General features: G+C 50.3%; 1 long non-coding RNA gene across 1 annotated transcript, besides 1 other annotated feature; it reads right to left on the reverse strand.

The window, feature by feature from the left end:
- Window positions 883–932: an enhancer, noted in NCBI's record as "active region_23101". NCBI's record gives its function as "activates an Ori minimal core promoter by ATAC-STARR-seq in GM12878 lymphoblastoid cells {active_cell/tissue: GM12878}" and the evidence as "EXISTENCE:reporter gene assay evidence [ECO:0000049][PMID:35858748]".
- Window positions 3,434–16,851, reverse strand: LOC105379178 (uncharacterized). Its single transcript, XR_948792.2, has 3 exons — window positions 16,595–16,851; window positions 6,625–6,841; window positions 3,434–3,881 (listed from the first exon to the last, which is right to left on the reverse strand). It is a non-coding gene; the product is annotated as an uncharacterized LOC105379178 (long non-coding RNA).
- Window positions 16,852–21,880: the final 5,029 nt, after the last annotated feature.

Consider the following 21,880-nt stretch of genomic DNA (forward strand, 5'->3'; position numbering starts at 1 on the left):
TGATGCTTGTTTTTTGATCTGACTTGATAGTGTACTCATGTACACTTGATCTATTTCAATAATTTTAAGTGGCTTTAACAGAAAGGTGTGTATTTTTTTTTTTTTTTTTTGAGATGGAGTCTCGCTTTGTCACCCAGGCTGCAGTGCAGTGGCGGGATCTTGGTTTACTGCAACCTCTGCCTCCCGGGTTCAAGTGATTCTTCTGCCTCAGCCTCCCGAGTAACGGACTGGAGGCGTGCGCCACCACGCACTGCTAATTTTTGTATTTTTAGTAGAGACAGGGTTTCACTGTATTGGCCAGGCTGGTCTCGAACTCCTGACCTTGTGATCTGCCCACCTTGGCCTCCCAAAGTGCCAGGATTACAGGTGTGAGCCACCATGCCTGGCCTACATTTTTACACACACAATGTAGGTTATAAAACTACATAGCCTCTCATGTTTTGAAAGAACATTAAATGGGTTTGCAATAAAAAAGCCAGAAGGATTTTCCCAGATGAAGTGGTTTTTAGGGTGGGATTGTGGGTGATTGTTTATTTTTGCTTGTTTCTGTTTTCAGAGTTTGCTACAATAAGCATTTAGGGCCAGGCATGGTGGCTCATGCCTGTAATCCCAGCCAAAGTGGGAGGATCTCTTGGGTCCAGGAGTTCAAGACCAGCCTGGGCAACATGGGGAGACAAGCCCCTACCCCCCACCGCCTCCTGTCACTAATAAAAGCATTTAGGAATTTTATAATGTTAAGAAAACTAGAAGTGTGTTTTAAGAAGAATGGCTCCAAGGTTTCAAACCTAGAATACGGGATATGATTGTACATGTGGAGCTTCTAGTCTTGAGTCATTGGAGATGTGGTGGGAGTTTAGATTGAGAAGTTTTCCTGGGTGGGGTTGAGACATCGAAGCTCCAGGTGGGTGTGGATGGAAGCTTTTGGGGCTGGAGTCGTGTTCCTCATTGACGGGATGAAGGCTTGTGTTGAGATGTGTTAGGAAGAGGAAGTAAAAGCTTTGAAAGAAGGAACTGCCAGAGAGGAGTTATGATGCATAAAGCATGTTGGGAGGAAGGGAGCTAGAGATGTGAGATGTGGCAGTGGCCAGCAGGGTTAGATGCTTCAGTAGGGTGGGAGCTGGGTGGGGTGAAGGGGCTTGAGGTGAGGCTGCAGGTGCTGAGTACTTGGTCAAGAAGCTTGGCCTCAGCCGCCCCGTCCGGGAGGGAGGTGGGGGGGTCGGCCCCCCGCCCGGCCAGCCGCCCCGTCCGGGAGGGAGGTGGGGGGGGTCAGCCCCCCCGCCCAGCCAGCTGCCCTGTCCGGGAGGTGAGGGGCGCCTCTGCCCGGCCGCCCCTACTGGGAAGTGAGGAGCCCCTCTGCCCGGCCAGCCGCCCCGTCCGGGAGGGAGGTGGGGGGGTCAGCCCCCCCGCCCAGCCAGCCGCCCTGTCCGGGAGGTGAGGGGCGCCTCTGCCCGGCCGCCCCTACTGGGAAGTGAGGAGCCCCTCTGCCCGGCCAGCCGCCCCGTCCGGGAGGGAGGTGGGGGGGTCAGCCCCCCCGCCCAGCCAGCCGCCCTGTCCGGGAGGTGAGGGGCGCCTCTGCCCGGCCGCCCCTACTGGGAAGTGAGGAGCCCCTCTGCCCGGCCACCACCCCGTCTGGGAGGTGTGCCCAACAGCTCATTGAGAACGGGCCAGGATGACAATGGCGGCTTTGTGGAATAGAAAGGCGGGAAAGGTGGGGAAAAGATTGAGAAATCGGATGGTTGCCGTGTCTGTGTAGAAAGAAGCAGACATGGGAGACTTTTCATTTTGTTCTGCACTAAGAAAAATTCCTCTGCCTTGGGATCCTGTTGATCTGTGACCTTACCCCCAACCCTGTGCTCTCTGAAACATGTGCTGTGTCCACTCAGGGTTAAATGGATTAAGGGCGGTGCAAGATGTGCTTTGTTAAACAGATGCTTGAAGGCAGCATGCTCGTTAAGAGTCATCACCAATCCCTAATCTCAAGTAATCAGGGACACAAACACTGCGGAAGGCCGCAGGGTCCTCTGCCTAGGAAAACCAGAGACCTTTGTTCACTTGTTTATCTGCTGACCTTCCCTCCACTATTGTCCCATGACCCTGCCAAATCCCCCTCTGTGAGAAACACCCAAGAATTATCAATAAAAAAATAAATTAAAAAAAAAAAAATAAAAAAAAAAAATAAAAAAAAAAAAGCAAAAAAAAAAAAAAAAAAAGAAGCTTGGCCTCTGAAATGAGGCATCAGTCTGCGAGAAAGGAGGTTGGGCAGTGTCCTGTGTGTAAATGGGGATGGTTCCCACCACTTACTTGAGACCATTGGGAATCTTGGAGTTGCCAGTACATTCCTTGGATGTACTTGGCTTTGGCTGGGGCAGCCCTGGGCCATGACCCTCTAACCTGGAATGCCACTGTTTTTGTGAACTGCTATTTTGAGCAGATATTGCAAGAAGTGTAGAAACTAAAGAGGTGACTTCTTAAGCATCAGTCTAGGAGGCAAATAGGGAAAATGGCCAAGTTGAGGTACAAGCAACACATCTGGAAAGATAAAGGAGGGTGTAAATTTCTGGAGGATCAGGGAAGGAAAGACCTCAGAGTATTTAAAAAAATACAGAATGCTTTCCAGATTTGCTCAATATCCATGGGCAAGTGCCAGGCTAATCCTGACCTTATTCCTCCAGTTTCAGCACACGTCATTAGGACAGGGTGAGTAGAGACTCTTTACTCTCCCTTCGTAAGTGGCATTCGCCAGCTTCAAACACAACACAGAAAAGACTACAGAAAGCTGTGTTTTTATCGGGCCTGTTCACTAGTGTGTCTGGGTTTACATCCTTCAAGGGCGAGATGGACTATTAGATTTGGAGTCCTGGATCAGTTGAGGGAGAGAAAGCACTGCAAGTACTTTATCACAAGTAAGCAGACCTTTACTCACCACATACTGGAGGTCTCCCATTTTTTTTTCTACATGAACTTTAAAATGTATTTTAAAATATCTATTATTTAAATTAGACTCAGCTAATGCTTGCAGAAGAGAAAGCTGGAAACAGATGGTCTTGGAAGACCAGTCAGTGGCCCAGCTTCCAGGATGTAAATCCCAGCAAAGGATTTCTAAGGATGAGCTGGGTCAGTATATATTCCACAAAAGGATGGTTCCAGTTATAGGGTACCTTTCAGGAGTGCCAGTGGGGAGCTTTGTAGGACCCGTGTAAGGCTGCCATGAGGAGCCGGTGAGCTGTCTGGGTTAGGAAAGTTGAAAGGGCCCATGCAGTGGTAAAGGAGGCCGCAGCATGAGTGAAGGTCTTTCCTCTGTGACTGGTCCTGTCCTTGTCTTCTACATCCCACAACTGAAGGAGGGACTCTGCCTGGGTTACAGCTGCCTCCGTGCAGCCCGGCAAGAAGCAGGGAATGGAGAAGGCGCTCAGTGAATACTTGAAGGCAGAAATGCAGTATTTTACTGTTTTCTATTATTTTCAATGAGGGGAAAAACGGTAAAACTCTTTTTGAAGTCATCAGACCTTCCATTTTTGGGGATGAGGAAAGAGTCTCACAGAACGGGTGGATGGCAGAGCCAAGAATTTTAATGCCAGCTGTTTTGAAGAGTGCTACTTTTCTGGAAAGTTGTATGGCTAGACTATGGGGCTTTTGCCTTCCAAGAAGTCGCCCTGAGTGTAGCATTAGTTGGAGTAACACTCCCTAAGAATCTGACGTTCCCCTCCGGCCAATTCTGATTTGGTCTTGTGTGAAATCGCAGTGCTTGTGTTGCCACATGGGGGCGCCATCGCTCTTCCTTTGCCGTGGTGGTTGGTTCCGTGCGTAGATCAGACTTCACTCCTTGAGGAGTCCCAGAAGTTTGGAGAACACAGACGGCCACCTCCTCTCCTTCTGGGTAGCTAAAAGCAAAATAAGTATGGTTTAACAGAGTCCTCAAGCTAGCAAGCAGGGGCTCAAGCAAGAAAGTAGGCCTTTTGCTACTAATCTCTTAGGTCCTTACCACCCAAAGTATGACATCACTGTTAAAAAGAAGAATCTTGGACTGCTCCCAGACCTCAGGTAGATCCCAGCCCAGTGCTTCTCAGTATACCTGGGGATCTTGCTAAAATGCAGATTCTGATTCAGCAGGTCAGAGTGGGGCTGAAGAGTCCATTTTTTTTCTTTTCTTTCTTTCTTTTTTTTTTTTGATGGAGTCTCACTCTGTCACCCAGGCTGGAGTGCAGTGGCGCGAGCTCAGCTCACTGCAACCTCTGCTGCCCGGGTTCAAGCGATTCTCCTGCCTCAGGCTACCAAGTAGCTGGGATTACAGGTGCCTGCCACCACGCCCGGCTAATTTTTGTAGTTTTAGTAGGGATGGGGTTTCACCATCTTGGCCAGGCTGGTCTTGAATTCCTGACCTCGTGATACACCTGCCTTGGCCTCCCAAAGGGCTGGGATTACAGGTGTGAGCCACCATGCCCGGCGAAGAGTCCATTTCTATCAAGTTCCCAGGAGATGCCTATCATGGACTGTGCTTTGACTGAGAAAGACAACCTATAGGAGCCTCAGTTCCTTCGCCTGTAAAACGGGGGTAACACCAGGCCTGTCCGGCATGTGAGATGATGCATGCGGAAGGCACTGAAGACAGGAAGAACAAAGGTATTGCTCACAACAGGTGTGCAACTTGCCCTTTAAAGTGCAGAGTAGCTGACCCAGACATAAGTAGTCCGAGTTACCATAGCCTCCTGGCCTTTCTTGTCCTTACCCCACCAGGAGCCCAGGCTCCAGAGGAACAAGGTAGAAAGTCAACCTAAGAACCAAAGATGTACCGCCCTCCCGTGTGACATGGTCATAGTCCCCGGATGGGGAGGGAGTGCTGCTTCCTGCCCCTGGGGTGACACGTGAATCCATCCCACCTGGATGGAGGAACGGAGGTCCCTCTTTCCTTTTGACTTGAGCCAGTCCAATGGACTCAGCCTCGTGTGATCCTATTAGTAGCTTCAGCAAGGAGCAGGAACAACACACTGACCCCTGTTCAAGGTGGAGTTCTGTAGCTGTGGGTAGAGACTCCTAGAAAGCAGCGATTTGCCTCTGAATCCTGGACATCTGCTGTAGAAAAGTGAGGAAGAGCTTCAGAATGCCTGGGCTCCGTGTGAGGCTCCTGAGGCCCAGTTTTATTTCCTTGCCTAACTTGTGGTGGAGAGGCCAAATATGCATGGCATAAAAGAGACAAGAAGGCCGGGTGTGGTGGCTCATGCTATAATCCCAGCACTTTGGGAGGCTGAGGCAGGTGGATTGCCTGAGGTCAGGGGTTTGAGACCAGCCTGGCCAACATGGTGAAACTCCGTCTCTACTAAAAATACAAAAATTACCCTGGTGTGGTGGCGGGTGCCTGTAATCCCAGCTACTTGGGAGGCTGAGGCATGAGAATTGCTTGAACCTGGGAGGCAGAGGTTGCAGTGAGCCATGATTGCACCACTGTACTCCAACCTGGGCGACAAAGCGAGACTCTGTCTCAAAAAAAAAAAAAAAGACAAGATTTCTTGGTGTATGAGGGTTCCCCCCTTCCTTCAAAGAGGATTGCCCCTTGGCATTCATCACTGTCTACAAGTTCGGTCTTGGTCATCTTATTTTGCAGATTTCTATAATGCCCAATCTGGAAAATGGGCAGAAGAGACAACACAGGAGAGGTGGAGGAGAAAGGGTGGGAGGAATCTCCTTGTGGACCAGCTCCCAGGCTCTCCTTTGAGGTAAAGCAGTGGCTCGAGTGTGCATCTGAATCCCCTGGGGGCCTGGTTACACAGATGACTGGGCCCGCCCTCCAAGTTTCAGATTCCATAGGTCTTCAGTGGGGTCCTGGAGTTTCATTTCTAACAAGCTCCCAGGTGAGCCTGCTGCTTTTGTTCTGTGGATAGAGAGTCCGGGTGACGGGTAAAGGAGAAATAACTGGGGCTGCTGATTCACATCACAAACAGCTGCGGGTGATGGAGGTTGTGGGCGGGAGGTGGAAAGAGCGAGGCTGAGTACAATGGTGAGGAGTAGGAGGAGAGGGAGAGGCACAAGCGTTTCTGAAGAAATGCCAAAGAAAGTTTGGTATCTCTCTGGAACTGTTTCTGAACACAGGACATTGTGTCTTGTGGGCTATGTGACTTGGCCCTAGCTTGGTTGTGGCCAGTGCTAGTGTGTGGAGCAGCTCTTCTCCGGGCGGCTGGCTTATCTCCATGATGCTCCTGGCTCCCTGGCCTCGCTGAGTAGTTGGCACGTCTGTGACTTCTTTATCCACGTGTGTCTTTTTCCTGGCCAGGTGGAAAGCTTCCCCAGGGTGGAGGAGATGTTTGCCAGGTTAAGGTCCCTTCTCTAATGGTACCCACAAGCCAAGCTGCACCCCTGTCTGCCCCTCTCCACCCCTGTCCTCAAAGTGGAGAATGGCTCTGTGGCTTGGAGGGGCCTTCACAGCCCAAGGGAAAGGCCTCAGGGTCTCCGATGTACCCGAGTGAGACATGCATGTCAGTCAATTTCCATTAAATCAGATCCAGCGCTTCAGCTTGCTCCACACAGCTTTTAAGGACACTAAAAATAAGCCCTAAATTGGAGCTCCTCAAGCAGCACTATCTGTTAATGAAATTGCTTCCTGTTAATTTGAGTTTACAAAATAAGTATCACCTGACAATCTGGCGTGGCTGTCACGGCATCCACCCCCAGGAATGGGCAGCTGGTGGAGGACTTCACCTGGGAGCTGAGGACTTTCTGGCCTCAAGTGCCATGGCAACCAAAGGGGACCCGGCGGTTACAACAAATGGGGAGACTGGACTTCGTTTGTTGGCTTGTTTGTCCCTTTCGTAACCATTCTCTGAGCGGTCAGCTCTTCGTCTAGCGGGGCCTACAGGTAAATAGATAATTAATAATCAACGTGCAAGGTAGCAATAAGAGAAGTACAAGGAGCTAGGGAGCAGCCTGAGGTGGTAGCCAGGAGCGGTGCGGGGGTAAAGGATGAGTGCATGTCGGTTGCATAAGTGAGTAGAGAGAGGGTTTGGTGAGGGAGCTGGAGGCAAAGGGGACAGCTGGACCACAGACATGCAGGGAGTGACCAGTAGTTGGAGTAGAAAGCTCAGGGCAGAGAAAGGAGAGAGATAAGGCTGACAAGATGCTAGCTGGGGCCTGCAGCACAGATGCTGTCAGTGGGTGAGGTCACATAAAAGGCTCCCCCGCCTTCTTTTTGCAGTCACTGCTTGATATAGGGGTTAGGAGGATGCTGCTCTTGAAAAGGGAGCCTTGTGATATTCAAGATGATAGACACCATCAGAGATGGGGTGGTGACAAGCAAAGTCAGATTCTAGGAAAGGGCAAAGGGTCCCTGGCGGGGAGGAATCTGGCCTCATGATACAGGAGGGAGGAGGGCATCCTTACCCCAGCCCCTGCAGCTTGAAGGCATCTGGGTGTGGGCATGGAGAGAGCTGGCCCCTGAGTCACAATGCCTTAGGCCCAGGCACCCTTGCTGGGGGGCACTGCTGCCTAAGTGTGGCATGCTTGAATAGGCAGGAGAGTGGGTCAGGAAGTTCAGCAGGTGTAGCACATCTTGGGGGCTGCTTGTGGCTCTGGGGCCTGGCTATGGAACCTGCTGATGCCTGGTGCCCCTTGTTAGACAGCAGCCAAGTCATCCATGTAAGCAACATCTCAGGGAGGCCTGAAATATTGGATGGAGGGAATTCCTGGGGCTCAGAACACTTGTATCTTTCATATTGAGACAAATGAGGGCTTCATTTGTACCTAGACAAAGGGCCTTGATTTTTTCCTTAGGGTATTGGTAAACCATGTTGAGTTTTTGTTTGGTTTTAGAGGTAGGGTCTCACTCTTTTGCCCAGGCTAAAGGACAGTGACATGATCATAGCTCAATGCATCCTCAAACTCCTGGGCTCTAAGTGATCTTCCTGCCTCAGCATTCTGAGTAACTGGGATTCCAGGCATAAGCCACCACGCCTAGACAGCCATGGTGAGTTTTAAAGCTAGGACACAGCCCTTCTCCTCCAATGCCTGGCCCTCAAGGGACAGGGAGTTGAGGGTGAAGGGGAAGGACTGGGTGGGTTTACAGGAAGAGAGGCTTTTGTGAGGATGCAAGTGGTTTGGGATGAGGGCAGAACTAGGGGGCTCAGACCCCAGTGGGCTCTGGGAGTGCTCACTATAAGACATGCTGGCTGTTATCCTCGTTCAACTAGCCTCTCTAATGTCTCACATTCTGTTGTAAAATAGCTCTGTGGCTGAGCTGCCCCTGGAAGGGTTGGCCCCCATTTATAATAGCAGTGATCAAGGCAGTTCCCAGATAATGTGTGACCTCACTTTTTCTCTGAAGCAAGTGGGAAAGAAGAATAGGTCCCTCCCGGGTGGCAGAGGATACAGTCCAGCAGGGTCAGGGCCCAATAGCAGGGCTACAGTTCTTAGGAAGGACACATGGGGCCAGGGGCGGTGGCTCACACCTGTAATCCCAGTACTTTGGGAGGCTGAGGCGGTTGGATCACTTGAGGTCAGGAGTTCGAGAACAGCCTGGCCAACATGGTGAAACCTCATCTCTACTAAAAATGCAAAAATGGAGTTGTGATGCGCACCTGTATCCCAGTTGCTCGTAGGCTACTCATAGGCTAAGGCATGAGAATTGCTTGAATCTGGGAGGTAGAGGTTGTAGTTAGCTGAGATCATGCCACTGCACTCCAGTCTGGGCAACAGAGTGAGACTCCATCTCAGGAGAAGAAAAAAAAAAAAAAAAGTACACACGGACGCTGCTCTTTCAGGCCAGTCCCTTGTGTGTCTTCTACTTAGCGCCCGCTTTGTTCCTAGTGGACCTACATGTGCTATCATTGGTCATTTTCTCCTCCTGGTGAAAACGTGGATTGACATCCCTACCTCCCTTTCACACTGGGCCCTTGGGGGACAAGCTAGGCAGTGTGTTAAAGGGTTTCTTTAGAGGTTCTGGGGATGTCCCCTTCATGCTGTTTTCTTGGGCCTTTTTCTTCTTTCATAGGCAGAGCTGATGGTGAGTAAACTTCCCTTTTCTTTAGCTCTATTTGTGTTAAAATGGCCCAGTTTACACTACACCAAAACCATGGAATCATGTGGATACTTTGTTAGGGCCCCTCCTGGGCCCTGGAGGTGGAGCCTCATGTTAGGGTGGATGCGCCTCTGCCCTGAATCTGCAATGGGCCAAGTGCAAAGCTGTGTTGTCAGTGCCAGATGGCCCAGTGATAGTGAGTGTACTGGTTTCGCAGGGCTGTCATAAAAAAGTACTACAGCCTAGGCAGCTTAAACAACAAAAGTTTGTTCTCTCACAATTCTGGAGGCTGGAAGTCTAAGATCAAGAGGCCAGCAGGGCTGGTTCCTTCTCAGGGCTGTGAGAGAATTGGCTTCACACTTCCCTCCTGGCTTCTGGTAGTCCCAGGCATTCCTTGGCTCATGGAGAGCCATCTCCCAGTGTCTCTTCACATAGTCTTCCCTCTCTGCAGGTCCCTGTGTATAAATATCCCCTTTTCATAAGGACGCCAGATTAGATTAGGGCCCACCCTAATGACCTCATTTTAACTTAACTCTAAAGACCTTATTTCCAAATAAGGGGATATTCTGAGGTGCTGGAGGTTAGGACTTCAACATATCTTTTTTAAGGGGACAGAAACCATTACAGCCCCCTTTGCCTGTGGGTTTCTTGGGGACTTCCAGGGCACACATGCTCAGGCAGGGCCGTGTTGGCTGAGGGTTTCTAGGATCGCCCTTGGAGCAGGCACAGCAGCTGGCCTGCCAGGAAGGGCTCTGGGCTTGAGGAAGAATGCCAAGGAACTGCGTTGAGAATTGTTGGGGCAGACTCTTCGCTGTTCTCCCTACCTCTGTGTCTCCCCAGTTCCTCAATGGGCAGTTGTGTAAGGAGGCTTGGGAGCAGAACTGGTTGCATGACTGGCTTCCTGGAGCCTCCACTATGGGAGTCCTGGGAAAGTTCCAGAGAACCTGTAGGCAAATCACATCCAAATGTGCATGAACCCACCCTCCTACTTGGCCTGTATATACGTGCCAAGAATCAGGCTGATCTGGGTTCTGGAGGGATGGGAGGGGCCTTGCCTGCTGGTCCAGGTTTGCATCGCTTGACCTGTAAATTCTGAAAGACAGGGGCTGGCGACCCCCTCTACCTCTCCTCCCAGGACCCGGGTGGTCAGGGCTGAGCCCCGGGTGGCCTGGGCTCTGCTGCATGTCTGTCCTCTGCTGTGTGTCGTGCAAGGTTCTTTTCTGCATGTTGTTCACAGGAGTTGAGTAAATTATGAGGACATCAACTCTAAAATGTAGCCTTGGCTTCAGAAACGTGGGACAAAATGGCAACAACTGAATTTCAGATGTAGAGCTCATCGCATTTAACATTTATGAGTGGCAGTAAAAGGGAAGGTTGGAATCGTATCTGCAGTTCCCAACCACAAGCCATAATTTTACACGCTCAAACATCTGTTTTAAGATTGTAGCAGAGAGTGTTGGGTAATTGGCTCCCTTTTGTCCTAGGCCCATCAGTTAGGCCCCATCAACTTTATTATAAATTCTCGGGGATTTATTAGTAAACAACATTTGGGGAGGCTGATGCCGCCGCACTGTAGCCAGGGAGCTTGAAGTGTCTGAGTTAGGGCCTCTGCATCAGTGCTTTCCTGGGCAGTCAAGAGCTTCTAACCCAGGGAGCCTCTACTTCTCAAGAAGCCCCTGGGGCAGGAGGGAGAGGGAGAGAAGCTAGAAGGTGCAGCTTCCTGGGAAGGAGGTTTGTTCCCACAGCCTGACCTGCCCTGGGGGCCGGTCTTGGGAGATTTGGGCACAGAGCTGTGCGATGGGACAAAGGTGGTCTCATCCTGGCTTCACCACACGTAAGCTCGGTAATGACGGGCAAAGCGTTTATGTTTTCTGTGCCTCCGTTTCCATATCTGTAAAAATGGAGATAATACTCCTATTTCCTGAGGTGATTGTGGAGATTAACATGAACACGTGTGAGGGCTCAGCACTGTCTGGGCACACGGAGAGACCTGGCAGGTGGGATATTAGTACCAGGGAAGTGAAAGGAGAAGGCGGAACTAAATAGCTGGAGAAGGAGATGGTTGTCTGCAGGAGCACTGGGGGGCCCTGGGGAGCCAACAGAGCTGCTTCACCCACAGTTCCATGTGGCTTCCAGGTGTGGGCCTATCAGGAGGGGGAAGTTGCTGACTGTACCTCCGTGTCAGGGCTGGGAGAGTGGGCGGTGTCCCTGCACTGCCTGGCCCCTGCTAGCTCTGCAGGCCTCATTCTAGCCCTTAGGTGGTCCTGGTGCATCCGCAGCCCTTTGCCTGACATCTTGTCCACCTGCCGGCCCACCACTCTGCCTCCACTCCTTTGGGGGTGCTGAGCAAGGCCTAGTGTGGGCTGTGGTTGGCTGCAGGGGACTCCCATGGGTGGGTGGTTCTTCTTAAGGAGGGCTGGGGGTAGGGTCTGGCCCAATTTACTTCCTTATTTGTATGTTGGGTCACTCACAGGACAGGAGGATAGTGGGAAACCAATTGGTCTGCAGGCATGAACATCAGGGTTTGTGTGGAGGGATTGCCTGGCTTGGAGCCTCTCTTTTGGGTTTATTGGCCTTGGCACAGCCTGGCTGGCTGGCCTGCCTGGAAGAGCTGAAGCTGGAGCAATTTCTCTGGGAGGTGCATGTCCCAGGATGGCTGCTCTCAGCCTGGGCCAGAGACAGGCTCAGCTTTCCTGTTCATGACCAAAAGCTCCAAACTGGCCTCCCTGGGTGGGGTGATGAGGAGTCCCAGTCTGCCCCAGAGCACCTGAGGGTAATGGGATCCCAGCAACAAACACACAGCCTGGCTGTGTAGCTCAGACAGCCCTGAGCCTGAATCCCCACTCCCCTGTGACCCAGCCCTGGAGCCTCTAATTAACCTCTCTAAACCTCAGCGTCTTCATTTGTGAACTGGGGGGTAATAATAGAATCCACCTGTGAAGATTGAGCAAGCTAATGCGTGGCAAATGCTTAGTGCCACACCTGTCACCTACTAAGCCCTAAATCAGTGTTAGCTGTTCTTGTTCATCAGGTTACATGAGGCGTTGGCATTCAGTGGGAGATAAACCTAATCCGGGCTTCTTGGTGAGGCATAAAGAACACAGCCTCTTGAGTCTCATGAGGCCTGGTTCAAATCCTGCCTCTACCGTCTGTGTGACCTTGGGGAAGTTACCACCTCTGGGGCTCCATGTCCTCCTCTGTAAAGTGAGCGTAAAAATATGACCTATCTCATAGGGTTATTGTGAAGATTAAATGAAACTGTCTCAGTAAATATAAGTTTTGTTGTTATTAATAGTATTATTCACATTCAAAGGAACTTTTTTTTTTTTTTTTTTGAGCCTGCTTCTCCAGCCCAACATGCCCTGGCCCAGTGTCCAGCTACGTGGGGGGTGTGTGGGGGCAAACCCTTTCAGTGTTTGGCATGAGAGGTGAGGATCCCCTGAGGCCAAAAAATTCACCCACAGTTTCCCTGGGATCAGCATGTATCCATGTATCCTCTCGCCCCCAACTCCAAACTGCCCAGGGAAGCCTTGAGTCTCAAGGCACAACCAGAAGCTGGTGTAATTTGCATTCAGGTCCTTGCAGGTCCAGGAGGGAAACGATATTTTTTTGCCCCAAATAGGAAATTAGTGGCAGGAGAGGCCAGCTTGGCAGAGAGCTTGTGCCACGTTGTCTGCCAGTTGGATTCAGAGGCATTCTCACTGGCAGCTAGAGCTCTGGTCTCACCCAAGAAATAAACCTGCGTGTCCCCCCCCCACCCCAGGGTGAATGCAGTGCTGCCTTCGGCCTTTGGGCACCCCTGGGAGTGACTACCCTGAGAGGCGCCAGCTTCTTCCTGTTACAGCCCAGGAAAGTGCACCAGGCCTCTGTTTTCCACCAGCAATAAGACTTTGTCTTGTGTGATCTCAAAGGCCTTGGAACAGGCCAGGGCCTCATCAGTAGGTGAGGAACAGTGACTCGGTGTCTGAGGTCCTGCCCCAGCCCACCTTCTACCCAAGTGAATCGGAGCATGCTCCCCAGTGGCTTCTGGTGTGCTTTGAATCAAACCCTCCCTCTTCACCAAGGAGATCTGGGTCTGGCCTCACCCTGACCCACTGTCTTCCTTCTCCCCTGGACTCCGGCTCCCCGAGCCTGCCTTTTATTCCTTGAATGTGCCCATGATTGGTTCTGAGTCAGGGGCTTTGTGTAGCAGTTTCTACTCCCTGGAAGCCTCCCCACACACACTGTCCTGCCTCCCTTCCTCACTTCCTTCAGGTCTCTGTTTCTTCCCAGAGAGGCTTTCCTTGATTTCCCTCTGCAAGAATGGCCTCACCAATCGCTCTTTTCTATCACCCCGTTTCCTTTACAGGTCTTATCACAAAAGGTGCAGAGTGAGGGGATTGAGAGGAAGGCCTTAGACCTAGACACACCTGGGGTGGCTGTTCTTGATCTCCCCGTTCACTGGCTGTGTGACCTTGGACAAGCTACTTACTCCCTCTGTGCCTCATACATAAAGTGGAGATAATAACAGGACTTTCCCTTAAAGGACTAGGTGAGTTAATCCATGTGAAATGCTGAGAATCATGCTTGCTGCAGAGTCAGTGCTCAGGAAATAAGAGCTATTATTATCACAGTCTATACTTCGTTACTGGTATTGCAGCTGCTGGACTATAAATTCTAGGAGGAACCACATCTAACCGGTTTATTGCTGTACTCCAGGATATCAAGGGTGCTCAGTAAATGCTCACTGAATAAACCAATGGTGCCAAGGTGATCACAGTGAATAGCAGAGCCTGGCCTTAGGTGCAGAGAGGCTTGTTCTGGGGCTTGAACTTTGTTCATTCCACACTGACAGCCCTGGGTCAAAACATTTCAAATTATTTTGACTCAAATACTCTGGTTCAATTTTATGCTTTCCCTCAGAAAAATGATTTATAAAACAAAAGGGTGTCCCTCCTTCCCACTCAGGCTTGGCACCGAGCTCTGCTGTAGCAGGAGCGTCTTGGTCACAGTGGTGGAGGTGAAATGGGGCAGGGGGCAGAAGTCAGCCTGGCCTTCCCTTGCCCTTCACAAAGGCTATCTGCCATAAAAGGCTATCCGCCCCGGTGTGCAGGGTGGGGAGTGCTGGGGACTGTTGGCTCTGCCTTCTGGTGCTCGGATTCCCATGGGGGTCTGCACAATGGCCTGGACTTTGCCCCTGGTGTCCACTGCAGCCCAGCCTGGTCCTTTGGCCCTGGGAGATGAGTAGAGAGGGGCCTTTGGGGCAAGGATGGCAAGTGCTTTGGAAGATGGGCCCGTGTCCAGTTTTCCTGAGGGGCGAATGGGAGAAGGGGCTGGCAGTGTGGCCCTCAGGGTGTGCCTGGCCCACTGAGCGGGAGAACACTCGGAGGTGTTGGCGTCTGCCTCCTGAGCAGCAGGGAGACAGGTGGCTGAGCCCACTTTGCTTACCTCATCTTGGACACTTCATGTGACCTCTGAGAGCCTCAGTCTTGTGTGGAAATAGACATTTGTCTTATTATCTCCTCTCCCCTCTGCATCTGCCATACTTTTAGGCCTGCGGCAGCACCAGGACTTAGAATTCCACAGTTCGGAAACCATCTAGGCAGGTGAACTGGAGTCTCCCCTCTTGGTGGCACCCCTGCCCGTCACGAGTGGCACTCAAGCCCCACATAGGTGTGGGAGCTGCACCCCTTTTCTTGTCCCCTCTGGGAAGGGACACTCCGCAATACTCTGCCCCTTCCTAAGAATTCCCTTTTCATAACGTAAGTGTTAAAAAGGCTGGAGAGTGTCTCCTCCAGCCTCTCTTCTACAGGCAGGAGGGGTGACAGGGTGGCTAGATGAAGGGCCCACTTGGCCACATCTTAGTAAGTTCTGCTCAGGTTGCCTAGGTGCTCTTTTTAGAGTGGGACTTTCCTCCCAGTGTCCTGAGTTTTGGGATTCAATCCAAATTCCAAATCAGGAAAATCCCATCTACCATCATTGACTGCTTCGTCAGGAGATCAGCCTGGCCAAGTAACAATTTATTGGAGGGGAGGGGCTTGCCCCTCTCCCACTTCCTCGCTCCCCTTCTATCTTCTCCCCCTCTTCCTATCTCCCCACTTGGCTGAAGTGTCAGAGCATGCAACTACTAGAACACCGCATTCACTCCACAAACATGTACTCACTACCTGCTGTGAACAAGACTCCCATTTCTGCCTTCTTTAGCTTGAGGTCCACTGGCAGAGGGTTTGGGGAGAGCTGCGTTAGGAGCCCAGGGGAGTGGCGCTCAGGCCCTCACCCTTCCCTGTCTCTTCTCCCCCACTCTGAACTCAGTGTCCATAAGACTTAGGGGCTGCTGGCCCACGTCCAAGCCTCCTCATTACTAATGGGACTGCAGCTTCATTTGTTTGATTTATGTTTAATATTCTACTGGTTTATACCTTTTCTCAGCAGCTTAATAATGATCCACAAACCTGTCTCTCTGGACTTAGATTTGGAAGGCCTGTGTCTCTGGGGGCCATTTTGATTTTACAAAATTTTTAAAGTAACCAGGGGTCTAAACCCTATCCTGGCTCAACATATTCACATCTGTTCCCTGACACTCAGCCCCATCGGGAGCCAGTGCCCAGCACACTCTCCCCCAACATTTTATGATTCCCTTGTATGTTCACGGGCAGGCTGAGATGGGGACCATGGTGGTATCTCAGTTGTGTTCTTTCTCCTTGCTCCAGGTCCTGTCTGCTGGGCACTGTCAGGTCCCATGGGCCCTGCTGACTCTGGCTCCTGTTCTGAAGGGCACTGTCATCTCTCCCTGGAGCCACTTTCTAGAGTACTTCAGGTTTACCCATGTGGCCCTGAGCTCATGCAGAAGTAGAAAGGTACCTCTTCCTTATTTGTGTTTGACTCAGCTGTGCGGTCCTGTAGTCAGGTGTTTGGGGTCCTTTAGCACTGCAGTGTTTGCATGAGAGAGGCTCTCAGGTTTCAATTTCTAGCTCTCTTCTTTCTTGCACCCAGGTTGAATCACCAGGGACAGAGCTGGCCATGCCTCCTCTCTTACTGCCAGGTTTGTCTCTGGGTCCAGTTCATCGTGCCTGGCCCTTTTTGTCTCAGGACAAGTCCTCTCCTGGGAGAGGCCTCAGTGTCTCAGCAGGTGGATACCTGGGGGCTGTCATTCCAGGCTGTGAAGCCTGCCATTCATGAGCCCAGCCAGGGTCACCCTGAAACATCTCTCCATATGCTTTAGGCTTTAGGGGGTTGTTTAGGGATGATATTTTTCTCTGAAGAATGTTGAGGGGCCTGTAAGATGAAGGCTGCATGTATGGGTGGGGACAGGTAAGGGAAGATGGAGCTGCCCATGGGTGGGTAGGTGATTCTGGTTTAGCGGACCCCAGATTTCTTAGAGAAATGCCTAATGCTAATTGTCCTATGGTCACTGGTGTTCCTTAGAGGGGCCTCAAGACTGTGTCTGGGAGAGTGCTGGGATGTACGTCCCTGAGGATACGGATAAGTGGCCCTGAGCTATTGTATTAGGATTCTCCAGAAAGACAGAACCAGTAGGAGATAAGGAAGGGAGAGAGAGAGAAAGAGAAAGAAGAAAGAAATGTGGGAGGGAATTTATTAGGGGGATTGGCTCACATGATTATGGAGGCTGAGAAGTCCCACTCCAGGCTGTCTGCAAGCTGGAGACTCTGGAATGCTGGTAGCATGGCTCAGTCCGAATCTGAAAACCTCAGACCAGGGGAGCTGATGGTGCAACTCTCAGCCTGAGGTCCAAGGCCTGAGAAACTGGCAGGCCACTGGTGCAAGTTCCAGAGTCAGAAGACCGGAGAGACTGGAGTTCTGATGTCGAAGGGCAGGAGAAGACAGATGTCCCAGTTCCAGTGGGGAAAGAGGGTGAGCTCCTCTTTCCTCTGCCTTTTTGTTCTCTCCAGGCCCTCAGTCATTTGGATGGTGCCTGCCCACATTGGGTGAGGGCGGATCTTCCTTATTGGGTCCATTGATTCAAATGCCAATCTCTTACGGAAACATCCTCACATACCCAGAAATAATGCTTTACCATCTGACTATCCCTTAATCAGTCAAGCAGATACCTAAAATCAACCATCACAGGCATCCAGTCTCACTCAAGGGAGTTATAAATGAAGGGTTGGTGACAAGGGTCAGTCTTGGGCCACTGGGGACTGACTTAAGACAGGCTGTCTTAGGGAGAGCATGTGCTGCCTCTGAGAAAGGCTGCTTGACCTATGACATTAAGACCCTGATCTTGTCCTTGTTCATTGTTTATTTATACAATAAGTTTTTACCGAAGGTGAATGATGAGCAAAATAGATGCTATGGCTCCTGGACTCTACTGGGGACAGACACTTAATAACCACACATATGAAAGCATTGCTGTAAACTGACAAGTGCTGTGAGGAAAATGTACATGGGCAGGGAGTCTTGCACCATGGGAAGGCATGTTTAAGCTGAGAACCTGAAAGATGACCTTGAGTTAATTGAGCAAGAAGGGTGGGGTGCGTGTGTGGGTAACGACGAGAAAGAACACACACATCCAGGCCTCAGACTCAGCCAAGAGGACTTGGGGCTTCCTTTGGGCAACAGGAATGATGAGGGGAACAGTTTCCTTATGCAGTGTGACCCTGTTCACTCCCACTCACCCTTTTGGGTGGGCTGTGGCTTCTCTGGAAATGATGCCCAGTGTTTTGCTTATGGGAAAAATCATTAGTGTTCAGAAGAAGTTTCTTGGCCGGCTGAAGATATCCTTTTTGCTTTGCTTTATTCATCGTTATGAATTGCAATCAAAGACATTTTAATGGGGAAATTGCTATAAAATGGGAGAGAAAACATTTCTTTGGATATTAGTTTTGTTTTAGTAAATTACAAAGTAGTGATTTAACTTGCCATCTTCAGGATTATTTCTGCCTCTCAGTGGGGTAATATAATCAGCGAGATCTACTACAGCCCTCATTTTCTAGAGAACACAGATAAATAATCTCCCAATATTCTCTTGAGCAAATTAAATTACCTGTGACATTTGATATCCCCCATACAGAACCAAGGGATGTCACTTGGAGCGTGAGGGTGTTTGTGGAGGATGCTAGAGATTCATGGGAATTCTGCAGCAAAGGAGACAGTGGATTAAAGATGGAAATTGGATCCCAATGGAGAATCACTTGAAAAGGATCCCTGCATGTGTAAATATATGCAGGAGTTTCCCAATGGCATTGCTGCACCAAGGCTGGGAGTCAAATTTAGCTATGTCCGCAGTCACATGGGAGTCCAGAGAAATGGAAGGAGGCTGGAGCACAGCCAGCCCTCTCATGATGCAGGCTATTTGCGCATCACGAGCTTTCCAGCTGACATTTTAGTAAATGTGCTGCCATAGTGACCACATGGCTGTTTATTTTTTTTTAATTTTTTTGAGACGGAGTCTCGCTCTGTTGCCCAGGCTGGAGTGCAATGGTGAGATCTTGGCTCACTGCAACCTCCGCCTCCTGGGTTCAAGTGATTCTCCTGCTCAGCCTCCTGAGTAGCTAGGATTACAGGCGCCTGCCACCATGCCTGGCTAATTTTTTTTTATTAGTAGAGATGGTGTTTCACCACATTAGCCAGGCTGGTCTTGAACTCCTGACCTCAGATGATCTGCCCGCCTCGGCCTCCCAAAGTGCTGGGATTACAGGCATGAGCCACCATGCCTGGCCCCACATGGCTATTTAATACACATTTTCTGAGTCTCTACTATGTGCCTGTTGGACACTGCTGGGGTAATAGTTTCCACATCTGTCCTCTGCAGAGCTCAGAGTGTGGAAGAGCAGTGAGACTTGAGTACCACCAAATATGTTGTTCATAGGACAGAATGTGGGCCAGCGATCATTCTGCCTGGGGCTCTCAGGGAATGCTTCACTGAGCTAAGGGTCTGGCTGAGCCTTGAAGGCTGTAAGAACTATTCCAAGCAGAGAAGGGAAGGGAAGGAAGGACAGTCCAGGCAGAAGGGACATCATGGGCAAGGGTGCAGAGGTGTGAAGTCCTGCTGTTGTTGAAGGCAGTGGGCAGGTGCAGTTTCCAGAGGGTGCTCTTTGAGGGGGAGAGAGTGGGAGGAGGGTGGGACCCAATGGTGAGGGGTCTTGAATGATAACTCAGACTGGGCTCCTCCTCATGGGCCTGTCTTCAGGATGGAATAGTTTTTGGGATTTTGGAGGAACCCATCTGAGACCCATTTCTTCAGCCTAATTCCATATCTAGAGGGGCTGCCTGTGGGAAAGAGAGAGAGGAAATGGGCACAGAGTGGGCAGTGGGCAACCTGGGACCTCATCTACTGCATCACTTTTACTGATACCCTATGTGTCTTTGGGTAAATCACTCAGCCCCTTTGAGCCTCAGTTTTCTCATCCCTAGAATGTGACAGTAACCCGCCTCTTCCCTGCCTGTTGGCTGCTGTGAGAGTCCGATGAAGTCACAGGAGCCCCAGGTACACAGAATGAGGCAGTCTCTGTCCCAGGGATAGGTATCTCTGTGTTTTCCCTGCCTTCTCTGCTGGTCCTGGGGAAGAAAAGGTTTGCCTGAGAGAGGAGCTCCACCTGAGCAGTGGTGAAGCTAGTGAAGAGGCAGGCTGGCTGGGTGGTGTCCTGGAGCCTCACTGCTGAGAGGAGCTAACACTGCCTGGATCGTGTGAGAAGTGGAAGAAGACTGCGGTGACAGAACAGCTCTCTCTGCAAGTGGCTGGAACAGATGAACTTGAGGGGCTTCTAGGGAGGGGGATAGCCTTCTGAGGGGCAAAGTTCAGTACACAGAGGGTGACTAGAATGGTTGGAGGAGGCCAGCCTGGCAACCATGGGGCCTGGGCTTTGCTGAGAGGGGTGTGCAAATTTGGGGCTAGGCCTTATTTGCTCAGGACAGTGGAGGTCCTGTGAGTCATCTTCAGTACCCTTTGCTTTCTGTCCTTGCCATGGTGCTTGGCTGTTCTTCTGAGTAGCTGCTAAGCAAATAGTTAGCAAATGTCAATTCGAAAAGGTCCCACATGGTTAGGGTGGCCTCATGTCTTGGTCTGGACTTAAAATAATGGTGGTAGGGTCTAGAACCGCACTGGCCAGTGTGGTAGCCACTAGCCACATGTGGCTATTGAGCATGTGGAATGTGCCTGGACTGAATTAAGATATGCTGTAAGCATAAAGATACACACTGGATTTTGATGACTTTGTACAAAAAATATAAGCTGAGTACATGGTGAAATAATATTTTAGATATATTGGGTTGAGTGAAATGAAATATATATAAAATATAGTATTATAATTTCACCTGTTTCTTTTTACTTTTTAACATGGCTACTAGAAAATTTAAAATTAAATGTGATTTGCACTATATTTCAATTGGACAGTGCTGGTCTAGAGGCTGAAGGGAGGAAGCATTGTAGATGAAGAGCTCTTTGCATCTCCAAAGAGGACTTTCTCCTGCCTAGACTGGCCACTTGAGTGGCAGCTGCTCTGGGAAGCTGCGCATTCAGTTAATAGCAGCCCCACATGGGTGGTTGTTCCCCTCTTCTGCTTTCTGAGCCTTCTGGGAAACTGTCTCTGGGCCAGGCAGTGATGGGGCTGGGATAACCAGAAAGTGTTGAGGATCCCAGACAGAGAACATATTCAGGCCTACAGAGGAGGTTACTGCATGGCCATTATTCATAAAGGCTCCTATTCATTAGACAGAGGTCTCTCTGGATGGGGAGCAGCTCATATTCATTCCTATAGCCACAAAACCTGGCACAGATCCTTCATACAGTAGGCTGACTGGATGGATAGGTGGATGGTGGCAGGATGGTTTTTTAAGGACACAAATGAAACATAGAGACTAAAGACAGTGCAGCTGGATGAATGGTGGCTGGATAAGGCTCAGAGAGATGGACAGTTGGGTGGCTGGGTGAAAAGATGAATGAATGAAGGGGTAGATGGAGATAGAGGGTGTTGAATCTGGGGGTGGATAGATGAAAGGGAGATGGATGGATGGATGGATAAATAGATGGAATGGGTAAAAGGAAGATGGATGATTAGGCAGCTAGATAATTGAATGGTGGGTTGATGGAGGATGGAAAAAGAATGAAGGGGCTCATCCCAACACAAGCAAGCATTGGTCAAGGTTTGTTGTGGACATTTTACCTCTTCTGCCCAGTGTGCAGCACCTTTCCCTAACTCTTTTTGTTTTGCTCAGACATGTCTGGAGCTTCTCCAGGCTTTCATTGGATTCTCTGGAGAGTTCTCATTGCTATGGCTGTGCTAGTCAAGTCTCTCTCCCTAATTAGAACTGTTAGCTTCCTGGTGGGCCACCTCTGTCATTTTGAGGGTTGGAGAGCAGGTTGGCAGGCTGGGACATGTGTATGAGGGTGCAGATGATGTGTTTGTTAGACTGTCTGGGAAATTCTTTATGACAATCATTGTTTTATACAAACATCATAGGATTCTCCAAATAATCAAGGAGTCAAGAGTGTGAGAGAGGAAGAGAGAATAGAAAGAGACCCGAAGGATTCTGAATGAATAGGATAGGGGAGAGAAGATAGAGATTTCTTTTTACAACCCTATTCCTGATGCTTGTCGGAGTATAATAACTGCCTTCACATGTACAGACATGACTATGACCTTCCAGAAAGTCCTTTCTCTGTAGCCCATTCTCCTTTTTCATGTCCTAGAAGGCCACATGGAAAGCCTGAGTCTCAGAACAAAGTACTGCCTTGGTATTTCTGGATTTGAGTGGTTTCTCTGGAGGTGGCAGGAGTGGGTGCTGAATGGGAAGCTCGTAGCCTCTCTAGTGACAGGGATCCTAACAGTACAGAGGAGAGAGTAGTCATTCATTGTCAGCTAGTGAGGCTGCATCACTGCCCAGGACAGTGGGTGGGGGCGCCTGAATTTTCTGCATCCGCAAAGGCTTTAATCTTTGTGA

The sequence above is a fragment of the Homo sapiens genome, chromosome 5 (genome assembly GCF_000001405.40).
Source record: "Homo sapiens chromosome 5, GRCh38.p14 Primary Assembly".
Classification (NCBI taxonomy): Eukaryota; Metazoa; Chordata; class Mammalia; order Primates; family Hominidae; genus Homo; species Homo sapiens.